Raw genomic sequence first — 25,075 nt, 5'->3', positions numbered from 1 at the left:
GGGATCTTTCATAGGTTCCAACATGTACAAAACACTGCTGTCAGAATTTTACCCACAGTAGTAGCCTGAGCATGTCATTCTAATCACAAGGGAACCATATTGGCTCCTTGTCAAACGCTGAATTGATTTTAAAATTGCTTTGATGACTTATATATTCAGCCCACAGTTTGGGGCCTCTGTTTATCTCTCCACATGAGCCTAGTCGCAGCTTGAAAGCATTTGAAACTTGTTCTATCGGCCATTTGAAAATATAGGTTTAAGTCACATGGAGCATGTGCTTTTGGTTGCTGTTGCAGAGTCTCACATTTGGAGTTCATTCCTGGCTGGCCTCCAAAGCACTGAATGAATAGATCTATTTAAGATGAAATTTCAGTTTTATCTTTACACAGAATGCTTTTGAATTAAACATATACATAAGTTGTGCATGATTTTATTTGGGGTTATATAGCACATAAGGGCTTGAAAGAAGAGAAGAGGAAAGGAAAACAAAAACATCATCCTGCCTACTGATTAAATTGGTCACATGTTACCTATTTTACCTTCCAAGTTCAGTCAGGTGTTTCAGGCAGCAGGCGGTCTGACTTTTGCCGAAATCTCTCACCAGGATAGATAAGAAAATCTTGCCAACATAGAGTGAAAATTCAAATTTGGACTAGAAAGACTAGATTTTTGTTCACCAAGGAATTGATTAATAAAAGGAAGGAGGAGGAGGAGACTGAAAAAAAAACCAGGCGGGAATCTGAACTGCAGATCTAAACGAATGGCTAAGCTTTCATGCTATGTGTTAGAGGATGAAATTAGTTAAAATTAGAAAAATGGAAAGTAAGACAGGAATGTGATAGCCTGAAAAACTAGATTTCTCACAGTTCTACTTGTCCTGTTGGGACTGGCTGATTCTTGCACAGTTTTTCCTAGGGTGAGTGCAACACAGAATTCCTTATGCTTATGGACGTGTTTGATGGATTAAACTAAAATCTAACCTTGGATACCCATTACATTGCAAGAAGCATGTTTAACACACGTGGACTTAGTAGAAAATGTTTATCATGGGAGGCAGAGATGAGTCAAGCCTGCTTTTTAAAATTCATAAGCTTAAAGCTTATATTACCCAAGATCTATAGAAAGCTAATGATTTCACTTTCTGCCCATGCGTAGTTCTTGTCTACATTGAGAAGAAGTCAGTTGTTTCAATTCTGCCTCCAGAGGAAAAACAAAAGTACTCTTAAGCATAACGACTTTTGTATTGCACCCACCCTGGGTAGAACTGTGCAAGAATTGGCCAGTAACAACAGGACAAGTAGAACTCTGAGGACTCTGATTTTCCAGGGTATCACTTTCCTGTCTTAGGTTCTATTTTCCTAATTTCAACTAATTATCATCCTCACTAATCTAACACATAGCATAGAAGATTAGCCATACATTTAGATCTGCAATTTAGCACTCCATGGGTGTACAATGACAATAAACAAGGCCTGAATTAGCATTCCTCACTGCCTTTCAAGGTTCACTGCCCATTGGGGAAGAGGCAGAAAGAAAGTGATATCATAGCCAACCCTGGCCATATTCTATCAATACCAAAATTTCATTTTCCAAAACACAGAACCTAAATGATGAATTTAACAAAGAAAAGTATACTGAATCCAGGTCAGCTGAGCAGGGATACAAAGACAGCTGAACTTTTCACAGCTCTAGGGTCACCGATTCTGGTCATAAGGGTTAACACTTAAGTTAAAGGCAAAATGTGATCAGCTTGTCTGGGCCAGTCAGCATGTCTCAGAATAGCGATTTTGAGTCCAAGGATCAGAAATGGATTTCCAGTAAAGCTAATGGCATTTAAATTTCATGGCTCTTCACTTTACACAGACCCTGAAAAGGGCCCTACCTATGTGTTCTTGTTGTCACGTTATTGTAAAACTTCTAAAAGCAAGATCTTTCTATTAGCATGGACAGAGACTATTGTCCCCTTTCACTCTGACTTGGCCTCCAACACACTTCCCCTCATGTTGGAAGGAGCCAGAGTGGCCATGTGCATTTTCAGTATCTGATAGGGGATGTTGAGTTGGGGATCCCCTGGCTGGGTTTGAGTGTGATATGTTTATGGGGTTTGCAGTGACTTCTGTGTGCAGTTATCACTAGTCATCCCCAATTAATAACTTCAGGAATAGTCCTAGCACCCACAGTGCCAATTCACCCAGTGTTGAGATGTGAAGATACAAGGCCTGAAGTCATGTTGTGATAGAAAGTTGTCCCACAGTGCCCAGTACCAAAAGTTTGTGGGTGGTAAAAGAGAAAAGCTTTCTTAAATGTGTGGAGGTAAAAGCTATCGTGACTTTTTTTCTGGATTCATGATGTGTGTGGTAATTAATAGATTTTAAATAAATTATTTGTTGCTTCTTTTCTCATTCGAAATAAATATTTATTTTCATACCTTATTTATATATGTAATTGTGTATTATTTTTCCTAAAGAGTTCCAAAAACCTGGAGTCATCCTTGCCAATGACTCCAAGGGCTGGACAGAGTACCTCCTTAAAGAAACTGTGATAATCTATCATACACACTTGGTTAAATTCATATTATCAGGCCACGCACAGTGGCTCATACCTGTAGTTCCAGCACTTTGGGAGGCCAAGCCTGGCAGACTGCTTGAGCTCAGGAGTTCAAGACCAGCTTGGGCAACATGGTGAAACCCTATGTCTACTAAAAAGTACAGAAAAAATTAGCTGGGCATAGTGGCATGTGCCTGTGGTCCCAGCTACTCAGGATGTTGAGGTGGGAGAATTGCCTGAGCCCAGAAGTCGAGGCTGCAGTGAGCTGAGATCACGCCACTACACTCCATTATATCACTGGGTGATATAGTGAGACCTTGTCTCAAAAAACAAACAAACAAACAAAAAAAAACCACTCATATTATCACTTCACCTTATATATGAGGTATCAAATCCAGAAGCCCCTCCCTGTCACCTGAAATCTCTATTTGTGTTCCTCCAAGATGCCAATCTCCTAGTACCTTGAAGGATAAAACAAGGAAACAAAAATCAAGCTCAACATGATTTATTTAATCACTGGAACACATTCCATCTTCTTCCCTTAAGGCATGGAGCATTCTTTTGCACAAAAACAAGGTTTTGCTTAGTGTCCAAGTTAGTTAAATATTATTTCTCAACCTCTCTGCTTCTTTCACAGCCCATCAATATACCATATGCCAAAGGATGTTAATTAATAAAAGAATAAGTAGCTAATGGAATGTGGTATGATGTCAGGACCTATTACCACACATACTTCCTTCTGCTGTACAAAGCACTATTGAACACTGGAGTCCCAAACAGTTAAAGTCCATCAAATGAGTTAAACTAAGGTACTTTCAGTATAGGTAGGCTGTTTGCATATTTATACTTGCATAAAATTACAGCCAACTGAAGACAATTCAAGAGAAAAAAAAATCTAACAACTTTGAAAGAGTAAAGACTAGGTAAGTCTAAATCTCATATACTAAAACTTACAGAAAGTATCTGGGTATACAAAGCATTTTTTTTGTTTGTTTGTTTGTTTGTTTGTTTTTTGAGACAGAGTCTCGCTGTTGTCCAGGCTGGAGGGCAGTGGCACGATCTTGGCTCACTATACAAAGTTATTTTTAAGTGTACATGCATTATATCCATACTTCACACCATTGATGTTATGTATGTGTCAGCAACCAGTTATAAACTCACATTCTCTGAGATGCTTTGTCAACTATTAGTTTCGTCAAATTTAATCCTGTATTCAAAACCATCAGACTGAAAGCTTAACAAGACTTTACCAACACAACGTAAACAGGAAAGCTTTCCCAGAAAGTTTCCCAAACCAACAAAAGCATTTTATGGTAGCCAGTCTTGATGGTTACCACTGATCCTTCCTGGCATCCACACCTCTGGATAGTATCCTCCCACATCACAGTAGGTTTGGTCTATGTGACAAAAGAATGTGGCAGAAGTGATATGTCACTTTTGAGATTAGGTTACAAAAGACTGCCACTGGCCTTTGCTCTCTCTTGCTTGCTTGCACAAACTATCTCTCTCTCTCTTTCCCCATCCCTCATTGCTCTCCCTGGGGGGAAGCCAGCCGCCATGTTGTGAGCTACCCTATGGAGAGGTCTATGTGGTAGGGAAACTGAAGCCTCCAGCCAACAGCCAGCAAGGAACTGAAACCAACATAGCAGACAAAGGAGGTTTGACTGGTACACCCCCACAGCACCAAGCCCCAACCTCAGTAACCTATCATGTAAAAGGCATATCTCTGTGACCTCACAGAGATGAGAAAAGCCTGTGTGTATGCTTGAAACTGAAAGAGTCACATGCTGAAGAAATAATCACCTCCCTTGTTCAACCAAAACACAAACAAGTGCACTTAGAGGCCATGAGAATGGGGTAGAGTGCAAACAGAACTATCAATGGTTTTTTTCTTTTTCAGTTTCAAGCTCATCATGTCTTCCTAATCCCAGAGAAAAGTCCAAGCTCAAGCCTCACATTTTAGGGGCATGTTTAAATCACATCGCACTAAATTTCTTGCAGTAGAATTCTTTGAATATGACTTTGCATTTGCTGTGCATTTAGAGTATTTCTGATAAGCTGATTCATGCGTTTTTCAGAAACTGTTAACTTATGCAATATATCAAGTAAGAAAAGCATTTTTTAACCTGCCAAGGGAATAGAATATGAAACATTCAATTCTGAAAGTTCCCAAGATGGAGGTCAATAGCTGCTAATTCACTGATATTTTGGGGTGCTGATTCTACAGACAAGAAGTCAATCTTTCAAACCCACAACTTTGGAGACAAGCAGAGTAGATTTCCAAGTGACTATGCATATTTTAGGGTGTTCTTTTTTCCCCCTTTATTTTTCCATGCAGGACACTCATTTGTAACTTTTCTACTACCATTTTTTGGAAGAGAAGGGACTATGTCTATTTCATTTCTGGATCCCCCTCACAGTGCTTATTAGAATGTAAGTGTATACCAGGCACACAAGATGGTTGAATTTTAAGCAATCCCTTTTTCCCAGACAAAAAAATCTAATGCAATTTTATAAAAGAGACCAATAGACAGTGAAATAAAATGTGCCTAATGTTTAAGAATGCAAGATAAGTAATACATACATAGGCACATTGTAATATGCTCCTGATGAAATATTGCTTGATTTAAAGATGAAGTATACTCAGTATGCTAAAGTAGAACAAGTGCTATCGTGTAGCCCAGCAACATTTAGATCCAAACAACATATAGATTCTTTCACTCTACGCACCTGTAGGAACAACATAGGGGTTTTTCTGATTCCATATAAATTACCAATCTTTGCACATTTTAAACAATTAAAACGAGAAAAGAACTGTACTTTTATATGTAATGATGGGCAATAGTGAGTATGAGTAATTCTTCCCATATTATGTTCCCACTGAAAACGTTCTTCCATGAAGAATTAATTCCTACCCAAGAATCCTGGAATTTGTCTCACAAAAATATACAGAATGTCACTCAGTCTTCCAGGAGCTAGTATTTGTCATAAATCTCTCATTCCAGGCAACCAGGAAATAGAATTTTATTTACAAAGTTAAAAAAGGAACTGCAAAAAATAGTTACTGCCAGAAATCTAAAAATAATTTTTACTCCTAATTACTATAAAAATAATACAGGGAAATGTTGGAGCTCTATTTTCTAGTACTTCCTGGCTATGCAAATGTCAAAGTATCACTTGGCAACAGTTGGACAAACAACAGAGTTTTGTGTCAAGCAAGACAAAGCAACTGGCAATCCCTGGGATGCCCTCAGCAGAGGGTGGGGGATTGGCAGCTCCTTTATGAACAAGATTATTATCTGTATCCTATCCCAGCCCTTTCATTTTTTTGCTTTCCCCAAAAGCCATTGGTTAATTTCCCATTAGACTGAATTGAGAGAAAACATTCTCAAGTATTGAATAAGCATCTGGCCATAATACAAAACTACTGTGTTGGTGAATCGGCACCTTTCTAAAATTGAGTTTGACCAATGAAGCAAGCGATCTGGAAGAACTTTTGTGATCAACAACATCTGTCACTAACTGAGATATTTCCAATTGCTCTGAAGTTCCTATCTGTTAAATAGTTCCCACATCACTAATAAGTTCAATCTGACTTTGTTAAAATAATACTCTTCTATGGGATCGGACACAAAGTACATATTGCCCAGCAGAACAAATGGCTTCTGTTTGAATCTCACTGCACTGTGTATATCCCTGGGCGAGTAACTTAATCTAATTTCAGCAATGGTATAAAGGAAATAACAATAGAACTTATAAGGTGGCTCCAAGAATTAAAAGAGGTAATGAGTATTTAACACACTTGGCACAGTACCCAGCATAAAGTGAGCGCTTAGTAAGTTTTAGTTCTCCTTAGTCTAGTCATTGTTTTTCAGTCTTATTTCTGTTGATAATATTATTTCTTTTGTAAAACGATGAGGTCTGATTTCCTAAAATGAACACCTAGTGGCACTGTCACATGAAAAAATCTATTGTCAGTGAATTAAAAGGCAACATTATTAAAAAGCACATTTATCAAACCAATACACATGTACAGTATGTACATTTGGGTATGATGTATACAGAAGAGAGAGGGTTATGAGCTTTAGACTTGAAGAATCAGTCATGTGGACTCCCTTGTCCCATTGAGTCACCAAGTTTCTCCCTGTATATTCTACATACTGATTATTTTGCATCAGCTCTTAAAACATATTCCAATCTCTTCTTAAATTCATACTCTTACACTCTGCATAGTAATTCTCAACTTCTTCAGTGATATAATTCACAGCATAAGTGATGAGAAGAACTTTGAGAAATTCATCTCCACTCCAAAGAACAAAACATAGTCAACTGGGATTCTATAATTTACTCATGTCCTTATTAAAATTAAAATATGAAGACACCAATAAGTGTGACCCAGGAAAGCTGTAGGCTATGTAACTCTTTCAAAAAAAAAAGAAAAAAAAGTGGGCTCTGAAATGAAGTCTTGCTCATAAAAGCAAAATTCCTGCAGGGAGAGTCAGCTGATTTGTTTACAATGGAGTTCAAAGTTTAATCCACTGACAAACTAAATCACACCTAAATCGCATCAGGATCCCTCTAGCTGACTATAAAGAGAATCTAAGAGGATGCCATCACTGCTGCTTTCCTGAAGATCTTAGTTCTACATGCTAGAGTTATCATTCAATAAAATAAATAAATTATACTGGTAACTCTTTGAATTCGGATTTGCATTTAGTCAATAGCCTTAAACAAAACAAAACAAAACAAAAAAAACCCTCTCTTCTTTTCCCAAGATCAGGAAATAATCCAGGGGTTTGGTGAAATAATAGGAGACAACATAGTTTGAAAGAGGCTTGTCAGTAATGCAAAAGTCAACTTTCATCTGCTTCCAGCTTAGCAAAAATAAACCAAATAATTAGTGTGTTTGAGGGACTATATCAGTGGATAGGACTCATCTGACCATGGTGAAAAAAAAAAAAGAAGACAAAAAAGAAAAAGGAAAGAATTACCATCTATGGAAGGCCTGCTATGTGTCAAACACCAGCAATTAATGGGAACTAAGTCAATTAATCATCAAAACAATCCAAAGGTGAGAGTATTATGGCCCCCAACCCATTTTAGGAATAATGAAACAAACTGATGTTCAAAAAATTGAATTGACTTGTCCAGAGTCCTACAGTCACTAGTGATTCAGCCAACAGAGTCCAAAATCCATTTTGTTTTTTGCACTGTAACATTAATCTATAAATGGACAAAGTTACTTCAAACACACACACACACACATGCATGCATGCGTGCGCAGAAATTAACCTTTAAGCTAGTTTTTAAAATTACTAACTTGGATGTTGGGAGCTCAAAATGCATTTTGATGTAGAAATAATATTGCAAATGGTGATTAGACTCACAGACTAGTTTACAAATGAGTAACAAAACTAGGATTGCATGAAAGTGTTTAATTACTATTGCATAATTGTTGGCTATTCTGTTTGTCTTTATTTTCTTGGATTAGGTGTTCAAGTTGGTAGGAGACAGAAGGTGAAGAATTGCAATTTATGACTCCAGATATTAGTCAGGAACTATTTGATTGCAAGGAACAAAAACTCATTTAAATTTGTTTAAATAAAAAAAGGAGGAACACGGGGACTGAGGCCTGGGACAGAAAAGCTGTCAGGAGCTAATATTTTATGCCCCGGCTCAGATGATTCATTTCTCACCTTTACTCTGCTCTGTGAGGTTGCTTCTTTCTTCTTTCTCTGAGGATAATTTTCTCTGACTCTCCACACTCAGGGCACAAAATGCCCTGTTTATATCATGTCTCAGTTCAAATGTATTTTAAACGAAAATCTCAGAGTAGGTTTGCAGATATTCTTTGGAAATATCTGGTTCACTGGAAACTTGCATCTCTTTTCTGCTCCTGCAGCAGAAAGGAGCTCTCCAAACTCTGAGAGCAGATGCCTGAGTCTCCACTGCCCTGAGTCTCAGACCCATCTCACCACTGTCACCAGTGTCTCCCCACAGCCCTTGTCCCACATTTGCTGGCCAGCTCCTTCCTCCGTTCTTAGTTCTTCTTCTGTTGCTGCCACTTCTTTTTCTCTGACTCATCAACTGGCAAGACTTTGGAAGAGTTGTTGGCCAAAAGAGTTTGGAGCAAGAGGTTTTGGCATGGAGAGCTCTGGCAGCACCCACGGATCTCCTGGAGGGGTCCCTGAAGGATAAGTCTCCAGAGGCAGTAGTCTGAGGGCAGACTTAGAAATAGCCTTTTCTCAGTTTTATTTCAGGCTCTTCCACCAGAAATGGGATCTTGGACAAGTCACCTCTTTCCTTTAGACCTCATTTTAAAAGTGAGAAGTTCTCAGTAGATGATCCTTAAAGCATACGGTTCTTGACTGAGACTTGGCTATTCCTCCATTTATTGTAACTTGAGGTCCATATAACTATATTTGATGCTTATGCTACACTTAACCTCATACAGGTTGAGCATCCAAAACTTTTTGAGGGATGACATGACACCACAATTGGAAAATTCCACACACAAGTGCTTAACACAAATTTTGTCTCATGCACAAAATTATTTTAAATATTTTATAAAATTACCCTCAGGTTGTGTGTATAGGGTGTATATGAAACATAAATATCATCTTTAGACTTGGTTCCCCTCCACAAGATATCTCATTATGTATATGCAAATATTCCAACATCTAAAAAAATCAGAAATCTGAAATACTTCTGGTCCCAAACATTTCAGATAAGGGATATTCATCCTGTGTTACAAGTAACCTTATCTGCATACTTGTGAATATGCTTACTTTTAGTTCTTCAAAAATTGCAATCAATCAAAAAGACTGTTGTTATGAGCTCTTCACTGCTACTAGTGATCGTTTATTCATTCGTTCTTCCAACCACTGCTTAGTGAGCACTTCTGCCAGGCAGGAAGAAAAGTATAAGACATGGAAGGCCCTCAAAGGAAGCTGAACTGAGTTCGGGAGAGAAAATTGATTACCATGAAACAACCACATGGAATACTATGAGTTTCTATGAGGGCTAACCGTTATGGCAGGAGAACAGGGAAGAAACATCAGTGATGATGTTTTTCAAGTTCCTAAGTGTGGCTGAGAAGGCTGAGGGTCCTTACCACAGCAGCTTCACTCATCTTCTGGAGAATTCATGTCACAAAGATAGATAGTAAAGATGTGCATTTGGGAATTTGGGGGTGGGAGGATTGATGGTTGGTTGGCTCCCATCCTCCAGTTCTGATTTTCTTGCTCAAAATGGGGAGGGATTTGGCTAAGAGAATAAGGGTGTCAGACAGCTGCCATTCATTATGCCAAAGCATAGCTATAATAAGGACAAATTCACCTAAGTCCTAGGCTACTGGCCAGCTTTGCAGAGTCTTTCCTGTCATTTTATTAACACCTAGCACCAGCATCACCACTCAACCTAATGACAGTAATGTGTGTTTTACATGACTGAATGTTTGGTCCCCACCTGTCATGCTGTGGTGTGGCTGTACTCTATATGAATAGTTCAAAAGGATGGATGGGGTAAGATGGGGGCCGGGGTAAATAGGGAAACGTGAAGTAAAACCACCACAGGAGTCCCACAGGCAAGAACATATGCTGAACTCCAAGCAAATCACAAGAAGGATGATCTGTTAGGCTCTGCATGTCTTTCCAAACATCTTCATGTCCTTGTCTTCTCTCCATTCCCATCCTGCCATCTCGACTCATTCACAATGTGATTCCCAGCTGGCCTCCCCAAGGCAATGCCCTCTATTCTTCAATCCTATTTGCAAAATTTCGTTAGATTATCTTCTCTTAACTGATTCCACTACATCATTCTCCTCTGAGAAACCTGTTTTAGTCTACATCAAATGCCTGGGCCTAGCATTTGAAGATTCCTGGTCTCCATTCCAGTCAAACTGGTCTCACTTCCTCATACGGCATGCTCATTCCTGCCTCTCTGCCATACTCCTCTGCTTGAATACTTGACTTCCTCCCCATCGCTAGCTTCAATCTTTTAGTCCTTCAAGGTCACTCAAGTTCCATTCTCTTCACAAAAATTGACTGTGAACACTCTGGCCTTTCTCAACGGATGGACCCTTTGCTGAAGGCCTACAATGCTGGGTTCAACAATACTGCAAGTAATGATATATTTTAATACCTTTCCATCTTATCTCCCTAGTTAGACTGTCAGCACCTGGCATCATACCTGTCACACAGGCTTTATAGGTTTTTAATAAATAGAAGGCTGAATAATTGTACTGGCTACCTTTTCCATATTCTTTATCTCTCAAATAACAAGTCACGCAAGCCAATGTCAATATTTTATCCAAAAGCATTTATTAAATAGTTTCCAGTTGTAGCACATGAAGGACTCCTGCCACGATAATAATGCCACCATAATAATAATAATAATGTAGGAAACTTCATACCTTAACAGAGCAGGACACATGAGTAAGAATATAGTATCAAAATATAAACAGTCAATTGAAAATTCTGAATAAGTAAAAGGTTGTCATGTGCAGGGCAAAGGCTCATGTAAGGAAATGCAATTTAGGATGGGAAACAGAGAAAAAAAGTGTGATTGGATCAATAATGAAGATGAGCATGGAGAAAATTGTCCACATTCCAGCTCAGATAAGAGATAAGGCCAGCAATAGGGAAAATGGGCACAAAATGCATGTATAATCTGGTACCTGTTTAAGTCTGTCCCCAAAATATGAGTATGTGCCTGTCAGAGGTGGAACAAGAAGGTGAGGGTTTGTTAATTTGTTGACTGTAACTCCAGTTATCCGAATATGTACTATCTATTCATTGATTCCAGGTGTTATGTGTGGGTTCCACTGGTGATTCATTTGTTCATTTACTGTTTTATTATGTACTTACTGTTTGTTAGACTCCCTGCCAGCTGATTTTAAAGTATATAAGATACTGGGCCAGCCCTTCAGGTGAAAACAAGACTGATGAAAAGAAAAAAGGATGATAATACAAGAAAAGTATGCAAGGTCCCAGTGGATGGAACAAAGAGTAACCCTTCAAGTGCCCAGATAAAGAACAGCCAATAACGAAGGCACCTACTGCTATGGAAACTGTCCTGAACTAAGACTTGTGAAAGTCTGCTTTTAGAATATTAAATTTTATATGAATTTAAGGTATATATATTTACATTTTACTGTTTCTGATTATATCAGTACAAACAGTTAAAAAGTATTTACTGTGTGCTAGGATACACTCAAAATACTCAACATATGTTAACTCATTTAATCCTCACAACCAGCCGTATGAGGTAGATCCATCTGCTTCATTTTACAATTGAGGAAACTGAGGCACAGAGAAATTAAGGCACTTGCCCAGGGCCTCAGAGCTTGTCAGTGGTAGAGCCAGTGTTCAAACCAGAGTTCAATTCTCAGCCGGAATTCTTGTGCATCATTAGTACACATGTGCACAAGTACACTGAATAACATATCGACCCCCCAAACAGTAAATCTAAGGTACATTTTACAATCAAGGTTTCCTTAAAATCAAAGAACTCTATGGCGTCCCTCTACCTGATATATTGCAATGAATTGGGGGTGGGAATTCAATTTGACTTAGCAAATATTTATTTAGCTGTGGAAACTTAGAGATAAATAAGATCAAGTCAAGCTCCTTAAGGAGGTCAATATGTAGTGAAAAACACAAATAAGTAAACAGCTCATTACAGTACACTGTGGTGAGTGCTATAGCACTGTTTCTATTGTGTCAACAGACCTCGTGGGCTTCCAAAGACAAAGGGATTATTTCTGCCTGGCAGGTTGAAAGATGCTTACAGAGGTGGGAACAACTGGGCTGAGCCTCCACATTGGACAGGCTTCACTCAGGCCAGGGGAGGGTCATAGATGAGAGGGAGGGCTTTGCAGGGAATGGCTATACAGGGAGTTAATAAGGGGTGATAATGAAATGACTCTACAGTGGTACCTAAATTCTGCCTTGGCCTCTCCAGTCCTTTCCCTCAAAGGTCCCTAAAGGGTATATACACACACAAACACACAGAAAAAAAAAAAAAAAAACACAAAGTCAACAATATTTTCTTTTTAACTTTCTGCCCCTCCACCCCAAACCCTATGTAAACTCTGAGAAGCTAGGCTGGGCCCAAGGAGAAGGCCTTTACCTAAGCTAGATGGTTGAAGTGCCCTAGAATCCTAACAGCATAGAAGGCTTCCTCTATTTCACCTAAAGCCAAATTGTATGTCTCACCACTCTGATTTGAGGGAAAGCAAATCCAGAATATAGTGCAGGAGAAAAAGGAACCAATTAGAAAGAGACAGGCTGCAATGCCTTAGGCAGCATGGGGCTGGCAGGTGAGAGGGATGGGAGAGCCTGCAAGAAGGGGCCTGGGCTTCTCCTGAGGGTGCAAGCCTGGCACTTTTAGCCCTAGGAGTGGAAGAGAAGGATGCAGGAAAGAGCCAGAGAGGCAATCAGGCTACCCTCATCTCCCCTCCTGCCTGTGGGATCCTTTGAAATTTTCACAATACATGCACAGGTGCTTTTATTCACTTATTTTTAAAAGAGTATAGTGTAATCTTCAGCCACTGTTAGTCCTTAGAAGGGACTGATTCATAGCATCTACTCCTCCTTAGAGTAGAATGAGGGTGGTGGGGCGAGAGGCATAAAATTCCACAGTGAATTCAGGGGTCGTAGTCTAATTCAGCATTGAAGAACAGAGAGTTTACAATGAAGAGTCAAAGAAATAAGATTTTCCTCTTTCAGCCTCACTTTCCCCATTTGAAAATGAAATAAATTATGTTAAAATCTAGTCAGCAACATTTAGTTTTGACTTTTAATCATTTTCTGCTCATAGCTGGAATGATAGAGAAGGTTTACAGGAAGAATGGGACTTCGCTTCTTAGCTCTGTGGCCTTAGGCAAGTTATTGAACACCCTGACCCTCACTGCAGAGATTGGACCTCAGTAAAATAGTGGTGATGTCACAGGATCCTTCGGGTGTTGCTTTCCTGGCCAAAACTCTCTGTGGCAGGTGGCACCTTTGCCTGAGTTTTGCTTGGGCCCATGGGGCTTGTTCTGCCCACTTGGCCTGGCAGGCTGCACTCAGCTCATGCTACCAACTTGGTTCCCACACTTGCCAAAGGCAAGCCAGGCATAGAGCAGCGGTGGGTGTGTGAGCAAGCAAGTGTGGGGTCCAGAGTGGGCGCCAGCTCCCTGTGAGGGTGTGGCTGGAACAGGCATATCACAAACAACTTCCATGGCTGGCACCAGGAAGCACAGTGGTGCCTAGAAGCTTGGAGACACCACGAACCGCAGGTCCCCTAAGAGGGTGCCACAGCCATGGCTCAGGGAGCTCCTGGGTCTGGACTCCCTGAAGGGCTGCAGCTCTTCTCTTCTTCTCTCCTTCTTGTTGCCTGCAACATGGCAAGCAAGGGGCATGTTTTATCCCTGTTCGTGTTACAGCTCTTTCAGCCCTGCCATTCAGCAGGTTCCAAGTTCTTGTCCCATGTCCAGGAAGAATGAGGTATGCGGACAAGTGGAGGGTGAGCAAGGTGAAGAGGTGCTTTATTGAGTGACAGAACAGCTCAGAGGACACCACAGTGGGTAGCTCCTCTCTTCAGGCAGGCTGTCCCATTGTTTGCCTGAGTCTGGCTGAGTCTGGGGTTTTTATGGTCTTCAGAGGAGAGAAAGTGAATATTGATTGGTTTGTGGGTGGCCATAGGCAGGTCTGGAAAAAGCACTGTAAGTTCTCACTCTAGTCTGTGGAACTGGCAGCCCAGCCCCCAGGCCTCAGGCCATGCCTGGCCTGAAGCAGGGGTTTCACTTGGAACCCACTGCTTTCTGCCCAGAAGCCTGTCTGCCTTCTGCTGCCATTAACCTGCTGTCTACAGTGCCCACAATGCCCAGGCTATTTGCACCAAGAGGTGCCTACGGACCCATGCCAAGCTGCCCTTAGTCCCTCTCCCAAGCCTCCCTCCAGTGTTTGTTGGTGTCCAAAGTCTGGAGGGTGCTGAGGCAACAGGGGCTTGGTATGTCAGGGCTGTCCCAAGTGTGTACATACCTGGCCGGATAGTGACAGCACCCGAGCTCAATCACAACTTTGCTCTGAAATTGGAACAGGCACCCAGACCAGGGACAGGACAGGCAGCGGGACAGGCCAGTCAGCAAGAGAAGGCATTTCCGAGCCTATGAGGACAGGGAGACTTCTCAGGCCCCCAAGAGTGCAGAAATGCCCAGGTCTGCAGCCAGGGCTGAGTGGCTCCAGCTGCACCTAGAAGGGCGGGGCTCCCACCCCTCCAACTTGGAAGAAAGAGGGGCTTTTGCCTGTCTCAGGCTCCTGCTTGCTCCATGGAGCACACTGCCCCAGGCACACCTCCCCACTGCAGCCAGTGTCATGCCAGCGGCCTCTCCAGACCAGCTACCACTGCCATCAGTGATGCCTACCTCCTAGGGTTGTTGGCGTGATTCAAGGAAAGGATGTAGGTGAAGTGCCCTGCACAATGCCTGCCATATGGAATCTGTTCATTCCCTGTGAGAGGGCCTATTATATGCCAGCTTTATTCAGAACAGTGAATATGTTCCTGCCCTCAAATTCTATGAAGGTGCATATAACTAATGTTATTTGCTATAGGGCCATTTCAGGAAACAAAACAAAGCCACTGAAATGGTGAGAGTCATGGAATGACTCTCAGAACAACCCAGAACCAGCCTAGTAGAGGAGCTGCCAACTCAGAGCCACAACTAGAACCACAGCAGTCTAGTCTGAGGTCCCTGCTGCAGCTGGAGGTCAGAGAATGGACATGAGGTGCTTTTTTCAGGAATTAGAGACCAGATCAACATGTGACTACCACCACCACTGCTTCTGGACTGCCCCTTGACAATCAGGAAGACTGGCAGCTGACACATGAAACCCACAATCTTGTTGGCCAGTGAAGATAGCCAGAATACAAAAGAAGCCCCTGTCTTTCTTCTTCTAAATCTCTTCAGAGAACTTCTATTGGTGGAATCTAATTTATATCCAAAATCTTAGCTTCAAAGGAGCTTGGGAAATGTAGTTTCTTGGTCAGCAACCATGTGCCAACCCCAAAGTCTATTATTATGAAAGAAGAGAATAGAATTTTGGAAATAACTAAATGTCTATCCTTGTCAATACAGGATGGGAGGAGAAGGCATCTGAGGGCAGGGAACTATATTAGCAAAGACCCAGGGTAAAGAAAGGGGTGTCAGCAAGAGCAACTGGCTAACTGCAGTGGAGAAACATAAGAGAGACTCAGCAAAGAAAGCTAGAAACCAGATACCTGACATTATCTCACTGGTAAAGTAGAAATCATATCTGGCTTTCTGTACTTTCTTTCTTTAGAGTAGTGAAAATTTATGGTTCTCACTTAAATGTTCTTCTTCCCTAGGAGCCCCCAAATCCTGTTTATAGTCCCATTAATTTGTCACTATTAACTGGAGCATCATTAACCAGGTCTGGAAAGAACCAGAAGTCCCTTCCCCAAAGACCAGCTCTACTTGGACCTGGTTCCCACAAAGCTTTACTGGTTATCCACTTAAGTTCAATTAATGCATGAAGGAGTTGTTAATATTTATCTGCCACTAGGTTTCCTGAGTTTTTCTTTTAAAATGTCATTTGTTAATAATAATAATAATAATAGGTTTATTTATTCTTGGCTCAAGGTTTGCTCTTTGAACCAAGAATTTGCTTAGAGTTGAGTATTGAGTGGAAGGAAAGAAAGCAGCCAGCAGGTGACAATTATATGTTTACAAGGAAAGTGATATTTCACATCTCAAAGTGCAGCCCCCGATAGCTGAAGCCATTTTTCTTTGTTCATGCCAATAGTGCAGGGAAGGGCTCTAGTTATGTACTGGTGAAAATGGGGTGGCAGAAGCAAGCAATAGAAGATAGTGTTGTTTTCATTTTGCACTAATGTCCCTAGACAGAAGCATACATTTCTCATATTCACTTTCTCAAGGCTCTTGTTGTCCTAGTTTCCTGTTAAAAATCAAGCTAGTGATGGCAGACTTGTGCGATCCCATGAGAATACTGAAAGCAGTGTATTACAGTACCAGGCAGGAGAGTGGGGCTGAACAATAAGTATAACAGGAAAGTATTAACCCCAAATGAAATAGATAGTAAACTGCAAGCCATCACCATTGCAGAGCCCAGGCTACAGCTATGAAATGAAGACATGAGCATCATTGATGGAGCTTCACATGCAAGCAAAATTGTAGAGTCTGAGGACAAATAGGGAGGAAATGAAAAGGTTGAGAAAACTCAGTTTTGTCCCTGCCAGCTCTCTCAGGGAATTCACCGTGCCTCTAACTTAAATCAAGTTGTGGCTACCAGACACAAGCTTAACTTGGAGGCTGAATGAACAATTTTAAGCAAAGCTGTTTGAACAAGGAATGCTGAATCCGTTAAACAGATAAATATGTTTGAAGTCTTTGATTTTTTTTTGCATACTTCTATGTGCATTATCAACTATAACATCTAATAATAACTTCCTTCTTTATCTCGGCAGGAGGCGGCAAAGAAGAGAATGTCTTTCAAAAACATACAAGATAAACTTTAGGGTCACTGCTTAAGGGCTTATGGCTGGACTGTCTTAACCCTTCAATGAATCCAAGAGGTAGCAGGCAAGAGAAAGACCAGCAAGCAGATAAACATACAAGGGTGAAAATGAGTAATTTTTCAGTGGGAACTTGAACATGTATCAGCAGAGGAAGTATACTGGAATATTTCCAAATCATCATAGAGTGTGTCTCTAAAGATGTAGATATACAGCCATAGATACATATTTCCTGCCCACATTAAACTTTGTACTAGAGAAGGCAAGCCTTTACTTGCAAAGAGAGGTTGGTTTGAAATTCTCCATAAAGGCATTAATTCCAAGAGAAAAAAAAATTACCTTCCTCACATGCTCCTGCCTGGAACAAATGGCAAACCTTTTGGAGAGGGGAGATATCTTAATTATCTGCTGTATACAAACCTCAAAATTATCAGCCTAAATATTTTCAACAGAAAAGATGGGTTTATTTATGCACACTTGACTGAAGTCAAGAAGTAGGAAACTGCAAGATAATTTAAAGCAAACAAAATACTTTTGCCTTCAGACCTATATGGATAAAATCGTAAAACTCTACTGAAGGACGTAAAAGAAGACTTTGATGAAGAGACATATCACCTTGCTATCTAGGAAGACCCAGTTTTGTAAAAACTGTCGATTCTTTCCAAATTAATCTATAAATCTAGTGCAATATCAGGTAAAATCTCAACAGTTCCTTTTACGGAGCTGACAAGCTGGGTCTCCAGATTTCTGTAGAAAACACACAAGAAGAGTAAAGAATATATACTATAAAGCTATCCTGATTAAAACAGTGCATAATTAAGACAGGAAAAGTCAGCCAGAACGATGGACTAGAATAACTTACCAAATACCTGCTATATGTATGCATGTGTGCGAGTGTGTCTGCATGTGTGTAAGTTTATTTCAAATTAGTGAGTAATGAATGATAAATGTATAAATACAATTGTTTACCCATTTAGAAAATATGAGTTTAAACCCCAAAATAGATTTCAAATAGATTTTTAAAACCCAAATAAATATTATCATAAAAGCATTATTAGGAGACACAAAAATCTCAAAGAGGAATAAATTGACAAAACTGTGCAAAACAAACTCTCGATGGAAAAAAAAACATAAACAGAATTCAAAGACAAAAAATAAACCAAAAAAAAATATGTGGCACATATAACAAAAAAAAGGAATAATAGCCAGCCACAATATATAAATAGACAAATAGATCCTGTGAATCAATAAGAAAAAAAAAATAGCATTATAGTCAAAAAAGCAAAAGGTTTTAAAGACACCTCTCTTATTCCTCACATAAAATTCATTGCCATGTTCTTGAATCTCCAACTCCACCACCCCGACGCTAGTTCATGCTGCCATCATCTCTCTTCCCCTTCACCCATTATAGCCTTCAACTGGATTCCCTTGCGTGCATTTTGCCCCTCTCCATCAGTCCTCCACACTGAAACTTAATGAAACACATATTACTTCCATCCTTCAGTCACTGCTTTCCCTTACTCTTAAGGTTGAGAACCATGTTCCCAGCAGAATCACAAGGCTCTTTGAGGTGTTGCTTTCTATCCACCACTCTGGGCTTGTCTTCTAATGTGACAAACGTATTCTCTGGATGTTAGCCTTTCTTTCTCAAATGCACAGGCTCTCTCCTCTCAGAAAACCTTTAATCAAGCAGCTTCGTCTGCCTGGAAAGCTCAGCTGCTCTAGATCCCTTCTTTCCCCTCATCCTCATCTTTTTCTAGGTACTATCTGTCCTCTGACTCTTCCTTGAAATCCACACCCAGTATAATAACTTTCTCAGAAAAATCTCCCTTGACATCCCCGATGAAGTCTCTTTCCCCTAATATAAGGTCTTATACTGTGTGCCCCTCCTTCGTAGCAGTTGCCACATTTGTGATACTATATTCAGTTTTAAGATTCTTTAATTCATATCTCTATCCTGTGGTAGGCTGGTAGGCACCACGGGTAAAAGGACCATGTCTGTTTTGCTCACTATGGTTTTCTATTGCATGTTCATAGTAGGTGTTCCATAAATATTGTTGAATAAATGAATTTTTACTAAAATATATTTGCATTTATTTGTACCTGTTTTCTACACTCATATGTCAAATAAAAAGTACTGTAAATATAGACACTAAATTTTAGCAGTTTTTCACTGGGGATTTGGGGTAATTTTTACTTTATTTGAATTATTAATAGTGAGTACCCATTACATTGATAGGCTAAAAAAAATAAAGCTATTTCCATTTGGAAAAAAAAATACTCAAAAATGAAAATTAAAACCCTATAGCTATCTAGTAGCTGTAAAAAATTTAAAAATATAATAGACTTGGGAGAATTATGATTTTATTTTCTTTCATTTTTTACTTTATGTCAGATGGCCAAACAACCACTGCTTAGAAAACTGTGTTATCTGTAACGCATTATTTTCTGGTCACATAACAGCTGACTAACATAGCTTAATTTCGAGATCACTTAAGTTTTTCACCGTCATTTTGTGATGTTGTTTTTTAACTATTGTTATCATTAGTCTTTTTTTTTTAATTGGGTAAAGTGCATTTTAATTGCTTGCTGCAAATACCACCCACTTACCTGGAAAAGAAACGGTCGTCATTTCTGTTTTGAAAAGGCGGCCTACTTTAGATTCCTAATTAGCAATAATGTTAATAAGAAAACTGGAATAAAGAGAGTGAAAGAGGCAATTAAAAGTGTAACAGAGAGAAACTATACTAAACAGATTAGGGAAGGTACTTCGGAAAAGCAGAGGTAGCCCTGATTTTGGGGTGATTGCTGGGCTTCCCACAAGTGATGTTTCTTAATAATTACCATAGTGGAGCCAGAAAAGAAGTTAATTGCTGTGATTATGTCATCTTTTCACCTTTGCACAATTACTCATAGGAAATACAAGATAGTTGTGAGCTATCCTTTATGAATCCATCTCTACACTAACCCAGGAAGGAAATGGAGTTGCGATGAATAAAAGTTGTTAAAACAAGAACTTTAAGCTTTAGATTTTGCCTTCATCGCTTGCAGGATTTCATTCTCCTTGAAACAAAAACTTTCTAGCAACTGGAACCACATTTTAACAAAATTAAATTTATGAACCAATTTTAAACCTTGGAGACCCTTACAAATCCAGACATTTGCTCCGACTGTTATAGCTATTATGAAATTATTACAAATCTCACCTTAAAATTAATAAGTGACACTCCATGAGCATAATTACATTGTTCATCTTTCCATAATCCTTAATTCCTCTGTGTGTTATAACATGTGATCAGTCCTTCACATAACCCAGCTGCTTCAGATAATTGCTTGCTGTCCTACTGAGAAAAACTTCTAATAAATGATGCAAGAACCAAAAATAGTGCAACCCTTTCTCATTGCTACAAAATCAGAAATGGTTTTACCTAGAATTTAATTCTATGATTCTTTCCCCCTACTGACAATGGTATTCGGTGGGTTGGGAAGAGGAAGGATTAGAATATTTCAATTAGAACCCCTGCAGCTCTTTAGGAATACTACCAGAATTTTGCCACTAATTGACGAAATAGATAACACGTGTCTTTGCTTCAGCAGCTCTTATTTCCTTAATAAACATTTTTTTCAGCAACTTTAAGAAATGTTTCCCTTTGAAATACAACATCACATAATGGGCCCCATCTGGAATGGCAACTTTGCACACAAGCTAAGAAATTAGAAAAACAAAAACTCATTTTTTTGTCTTTGTCTAGGGTGAATAATTGCAATTAGCTACTGCAATATCTATATATGTTACTATGTTTAAAAAAAAAAAATGAACAAAGCTTTTCAGTGACTAGGCGCCCAAAATCATAAAAAGGCTGATATCCAAGAAAAAAATCTGGTGAATTTTATTTATTCAAACTGTGTTTTGGTTTTTATTCAGTTCTATATTACCTTCATTTCTGAGAGCTGGGCTTTTTTTTTTTTTTTTAACATTCATTTAGAATAACATCAGAATCTTCTAATCTCCTTCTTCAAATTTGAAAAAATACCAAAAAATAAGAGTTTTTCTTTAAGTCAAAAAACATGAAGAAGTTCATGGGGAAAAAGTGGCCACTGTATCCTAGTGTAGGGGTAAATGAAGACTGAAGGAAGTAGAATTCAAGAGCTCGGGACAGGACAATGTTAAACTGCAATTGCTGAATCTTTTTATTCACTAACACTTTCTGAGGTCTGTACTCAAAGAAACATTGAGAATTACATGCATAAATTAAACAAGATTCTGTAATTGGAGAAAACCAAAGCCTTGTAAAGAAAAGTTAGGGACCAAAGATTTGGAAATCAATATATGATGAGGTGAACATTATATTGAAAACCACACTGAGGTGGGGTTTCTAGTCATGTGTGGAAACCAGCCCCATGATTTAAATTATGTCAGTGGGATAAAAGACTAGGTGGGTTCATTGAAATTCTGCATTCCGGCTTTGGCAAGTATTTATGGTTAGGATTGTGTTAGTTGCCACATTAACAATTTTGTGTTTGCCTTGCTCTCTCTCTGCCATCAACAGTACAATCAGTGGGATCAACCCTGAAGAGCTCTGTTTCAGTCTGAGGCAGTCAGTTCACCCCTTTCCTTTAGTTCTATTTTATGACATGATTCTAAATCAACAGTTTTCACCCCTGTTTCGAGAGGGTTTTCCCCCCAGAAATTAAGGAAAGGTATGTTACATAGCAAATGAAAAAGAGAGAAGGCTGATTCTAATTAAAAGCGGAACATGAAATTGACTTGAAAGCATTAGGTTATGAATTTTCCCTATCATTATATCTTAAGTCCTTTATGAACCCAATCATCATCTATGATAGCTAAAATAAGAAGTCTTCTTATTCCTTCCAGCTTTTCTATAGTCTTAGGGATTGCTGCCGGCTGAAATGTAAATCCTACTATGATGGCTGTACATAGAAATAGAAAGTGTCTTCCAAGATAAAACAATGAGTGCTAAACACAACGAGCATAAAAAGAAAACTATTGGTATTTTCAGAACTCAAAGGACTATATGCCTTTTGAAGATACACTTTGGACACAAAAAAATCACTACAACAGAAATATCTGCTATTCCATCTACCTCTGTAAACATATGTTTTGAGCCTATGGATGCTGCTTATTTCATTAAATCACTATGAATCTGGGATTAAAATCATCATGCTATTACATTGCAATGCCTTTTTCTAAAGCACAATATTCCCCATAAGTGTTTACTTTCATTCTTTTTTCTAGTCCTCTATCCTATTCCCCTTTCTATGGCAATTATCCACGACAATAAGAATTGCCTAATGGTGTCATTTTGTAATCCAGGAACACAGGTGCTCATATGAAAGTTTCACAATAAACTTTGGGAGATGAGATCAGAGACTCAAACGTACTACTCTCTCACTGAACAACAGCTGTAAGAAATAATGCAACAACTCCCCTGCAGACGGAAAGGCTTAACAAGTAGAAATTCCTACATTTGTGTGTGGTTGGTATCCTCCCAGCACTTTTTTTAGCAAACAGACTTCACAGCCCAAAATAATATCCCTGTCTCCCAGACAAATGGTAGATCCCAAGAGATTCCTTTGGAGCACAAACCCTGCTCAGAGTGACAGGCAAAGTCATTGAAACTAAAGTCCCCCAATTAAGAGAGGTGATCCCAAGTAAAAGTAATGTTTCAGAATTCATCTTTCAGGAAAGGTAAAGCTAGAATCTCTGTAATTAACATTTTGCAAATGTTTCCTTGGAAAAGGGAAAGAAAATAGATAAACAGTCTACAAATTTTCATAACAATAAAAGGGTAAAGTTCTGATGTTGACCCACCCACCACATAAACAACTGACAAAAAGGCACTATTAGCAAGCTCCTCTCAGAGCTGATTAAAGGGACTCCACACTTTTCCTAAAATCTCCATGTTATGACACACTCTCTGGCAAACCCTGGACCCTGTTATTACTCTCCTCAGTTCAGCAACACTCAGAAGCCTCGGTCCCCAGGGATGTTGTCATGTTTCACAAAGGCCGCATTGTGTCTCTAATGCCGACTCTCTCCGCGGTTCATTTTGCATGCTCTGCATGCGCATGTTTGATTTTCAGAACATGACTCATGCCTTTTAAGTTACTCCACAGACTTACAAATGGAGGAAAGGAGTGATGGGTTGGCTGATTGGAAGTGAAAGAAGGTGTCCTTTCCCTGGACAGTCTGACTTTTTAAAGAATGCATTAAGTGACTTCCTGGCTCACCAGGATCAATGTGACGTGACATTTGAGAAGGGACAGGAATAGTGGGTGTTCCCCTTACATTATTTTTACACAGTTCATCTTTTTTTTTTTTTTTTTTTTTTTTTTACTGACAGGAATAAACCCGTCTCCCCTCCTTCTCTCAGCAGAATAACAGAGCAACATAGAGCTCAGCTAGATTTTCAAAACGATTGTGTTTAAACCTCAAGATTTCAGTGAGTGATCCATTTAAAGTTACTGTTAAACAGTATTGAATATGATTTTGTAATCTGTGTTCAGCCCTGATGGGCTGCAGGATTTGGGTAATATGTAATTATTTCACACTTGTGGAAGGAGGCAAAGACAATTTATTGTCTAGATTCACTTGGGAAGCCTCCTTCAGTTTTTGAAAGAGCATCCGTGGAACAGAAGTAGCCCCACCCACCACTCAGGGATTGGGAGGGTTGTTCTGCTTGAGACAGGGAAAGAAAACCAGTTATTGGCTTCTAAAATGGGGATATGGGATGTGGGATTAGGAATGTGGGGCGTGGGGAGAAGTGAGGAGGAACAGGGAGAAGAGCAGGCGCTTGGAGAAAGGCTCTCAATACCCCCTGGAAAGGGGTGATCAACAGACATTTCAGCATGGATTGTACCTCCTGAACTGATCAGTGTTGCCACATAAACCTCACTGTTGCTGTGTAAATTCAATCCCACCTGCACATCCACTTAACTCCTATTCATTCCAGCAAAATCTACTAGTATATTTGGGACGGATTATGTTGATTGTTGAAATCAAAGCCTGAGCTTCTCTGTGTTGTCCATGTTAGGCAGCAGAGTCTGCTGCCTGTAAGAAATGGAAACCCAAGGACAGAAACCATAAAAGCTGGCATAACCACTAGACACCTGGGGAAACTGCAGAAATTTTGGAAAGACTTAGGGGTGCTATGCCTGCTGCAGAGTTGGGGCTTAAGATAATCTGACCCAGATCTATAGGCGCAGAGAAGTTGCCACTACATCTGGATTATATTTTTCCCCTCTGTCAACATTTACATGTTTCCTATGTGTATGTCTTACGTACCTGTGGATATGCAAATGTGTGTGTATATGTGTGAGAGAAACTTTGGGGTAGTATCTGGCCCCAAATAGCAGCTCACTGAACTTTTTCCATTCTTCTGTTTCTCTGACTAAGAGAGTGGCTAGTTTTAGACAAATCTGCTAAAACCTTGAGTGAAAACCCTGGGGCCTGCAGAGAGAATTTGTTCTGTCATTGACAGCTCAAACGATCCTGGGATGGAGCACTCTGACATCATTGTAATCATAATGCTCTTCGTTCTTTTATTATTTTGACTTATATTTTTATACTGTTCAAAAAAACTTTTACATCTATTATGTCATCTCATGCTAACGACACCCCCGTGAGGTGGAAGGAAAGGTTATTATTATAATTCAGCTACTCTCCTGTCAACAGAGCCATGACTGAAGCCCCAAGGCCCACAGCAGGGAAGGCAGCCTAGTGGCTTCATGGCTCTCCGGGAAAGGTCCTCCAAGGCTGACGCCATGACCAGGTTTCGCGGGTAGCCAAAGGAAAGAGTCACAAAAAGGGCCGCCTGCCCAGTTGGGCATATGCCAACAGTTCTGTCTGGCAGGAGTGGCATGGGACAGGGATGAGAACTGTTCTCCTTTCTTTCCTGTTTTGAGTCTATTACAGCACACAGGGTTTGAGGCATTAGAGGGGCTGGCATGAGTCTTTACCCTCTTCATC

At 39.7% G+C, this 25,075-nt stretch overlaps 4 annotated features.

Moving 5' to 3' along the window:
• Positions 14,331-14,831: an enhancer, noted in NCBI's record as "H3K27ac hESC enhancer chr5:115996497-115996997 (GRCh37/hg19 assembly coordinates)". NCBI's record gives its function as "activates a minimal SCP1, AML or CMV promoter by ChIP-STARR-seq in primed H9 embryonic stem cells {active_cell/tissue: H9 hESC(primed)}" and the evidence as "EXISTENCE:reporter gene assay evidence [ECO:0000049][PMID:30033119]".
• Positions 23,005-23,299: a silencer, noted in NCBI's record as "tiled region #8609; K562 Repressive non-DNase unmatched - State 24:Quies". NCBI's record gives its function as "weakly represses a minimal TATA promoter and a strong SV40 promoter by Sharpr-MPRA in K562 cells {active_cell/tissue: K562}" and the evidence as "EXISTENCE:reporter gene assay evidence [ECO:0000049][PMID:27701403]".
• Positions 23,005-23,299: an enhancer, noted in NCBI's record as "tiled region #8609; HepG2 Activating DNase unmatched - State 5:Enh". NCBI's record gives its function as "activates a minimal TATA promoter and a strong SV40 promoter by Sharpr-MPRA in HepG2 cells {active_cell/tissue: HepG2}" and the evidence as "EXISTENCE:reporter gene assay evidence [ECO:0000049][PMID:27701403]".
• Positions 23,021-23,070: an enhancer, noted in NCBI's record as "active region_22947". NCBI's record gives its function as "activates an Ori minimal core promoter by ATAC-STARR-seq in GM12878 lymphoblastoid cells {active_cell/tissue: GM12878}" and the evidence as "EXISTENCE:reporter gene assay evidence [ECO:0000049][PMID:35858748]".

The sequence above is a fragment of the Homo sapiens genome, chromosome 5 (genome assembly GCF_000001405.40).
Source record: "Homo sapiens chromosome 5, GRCh38.p14 Primary Assembly".
NCBI classification, from domain to species: domain Eukaryota; kingdom Metazoa; phylum Chordata; class Mammalia; order Primates; family Hominidae; genus Homo; species Homo sapiens.
The sequence above is the reverse complement of the archived record's forward strand: the minus strand, read 5'-3'. Positions and strand labels throughout refer to the sequence as shown.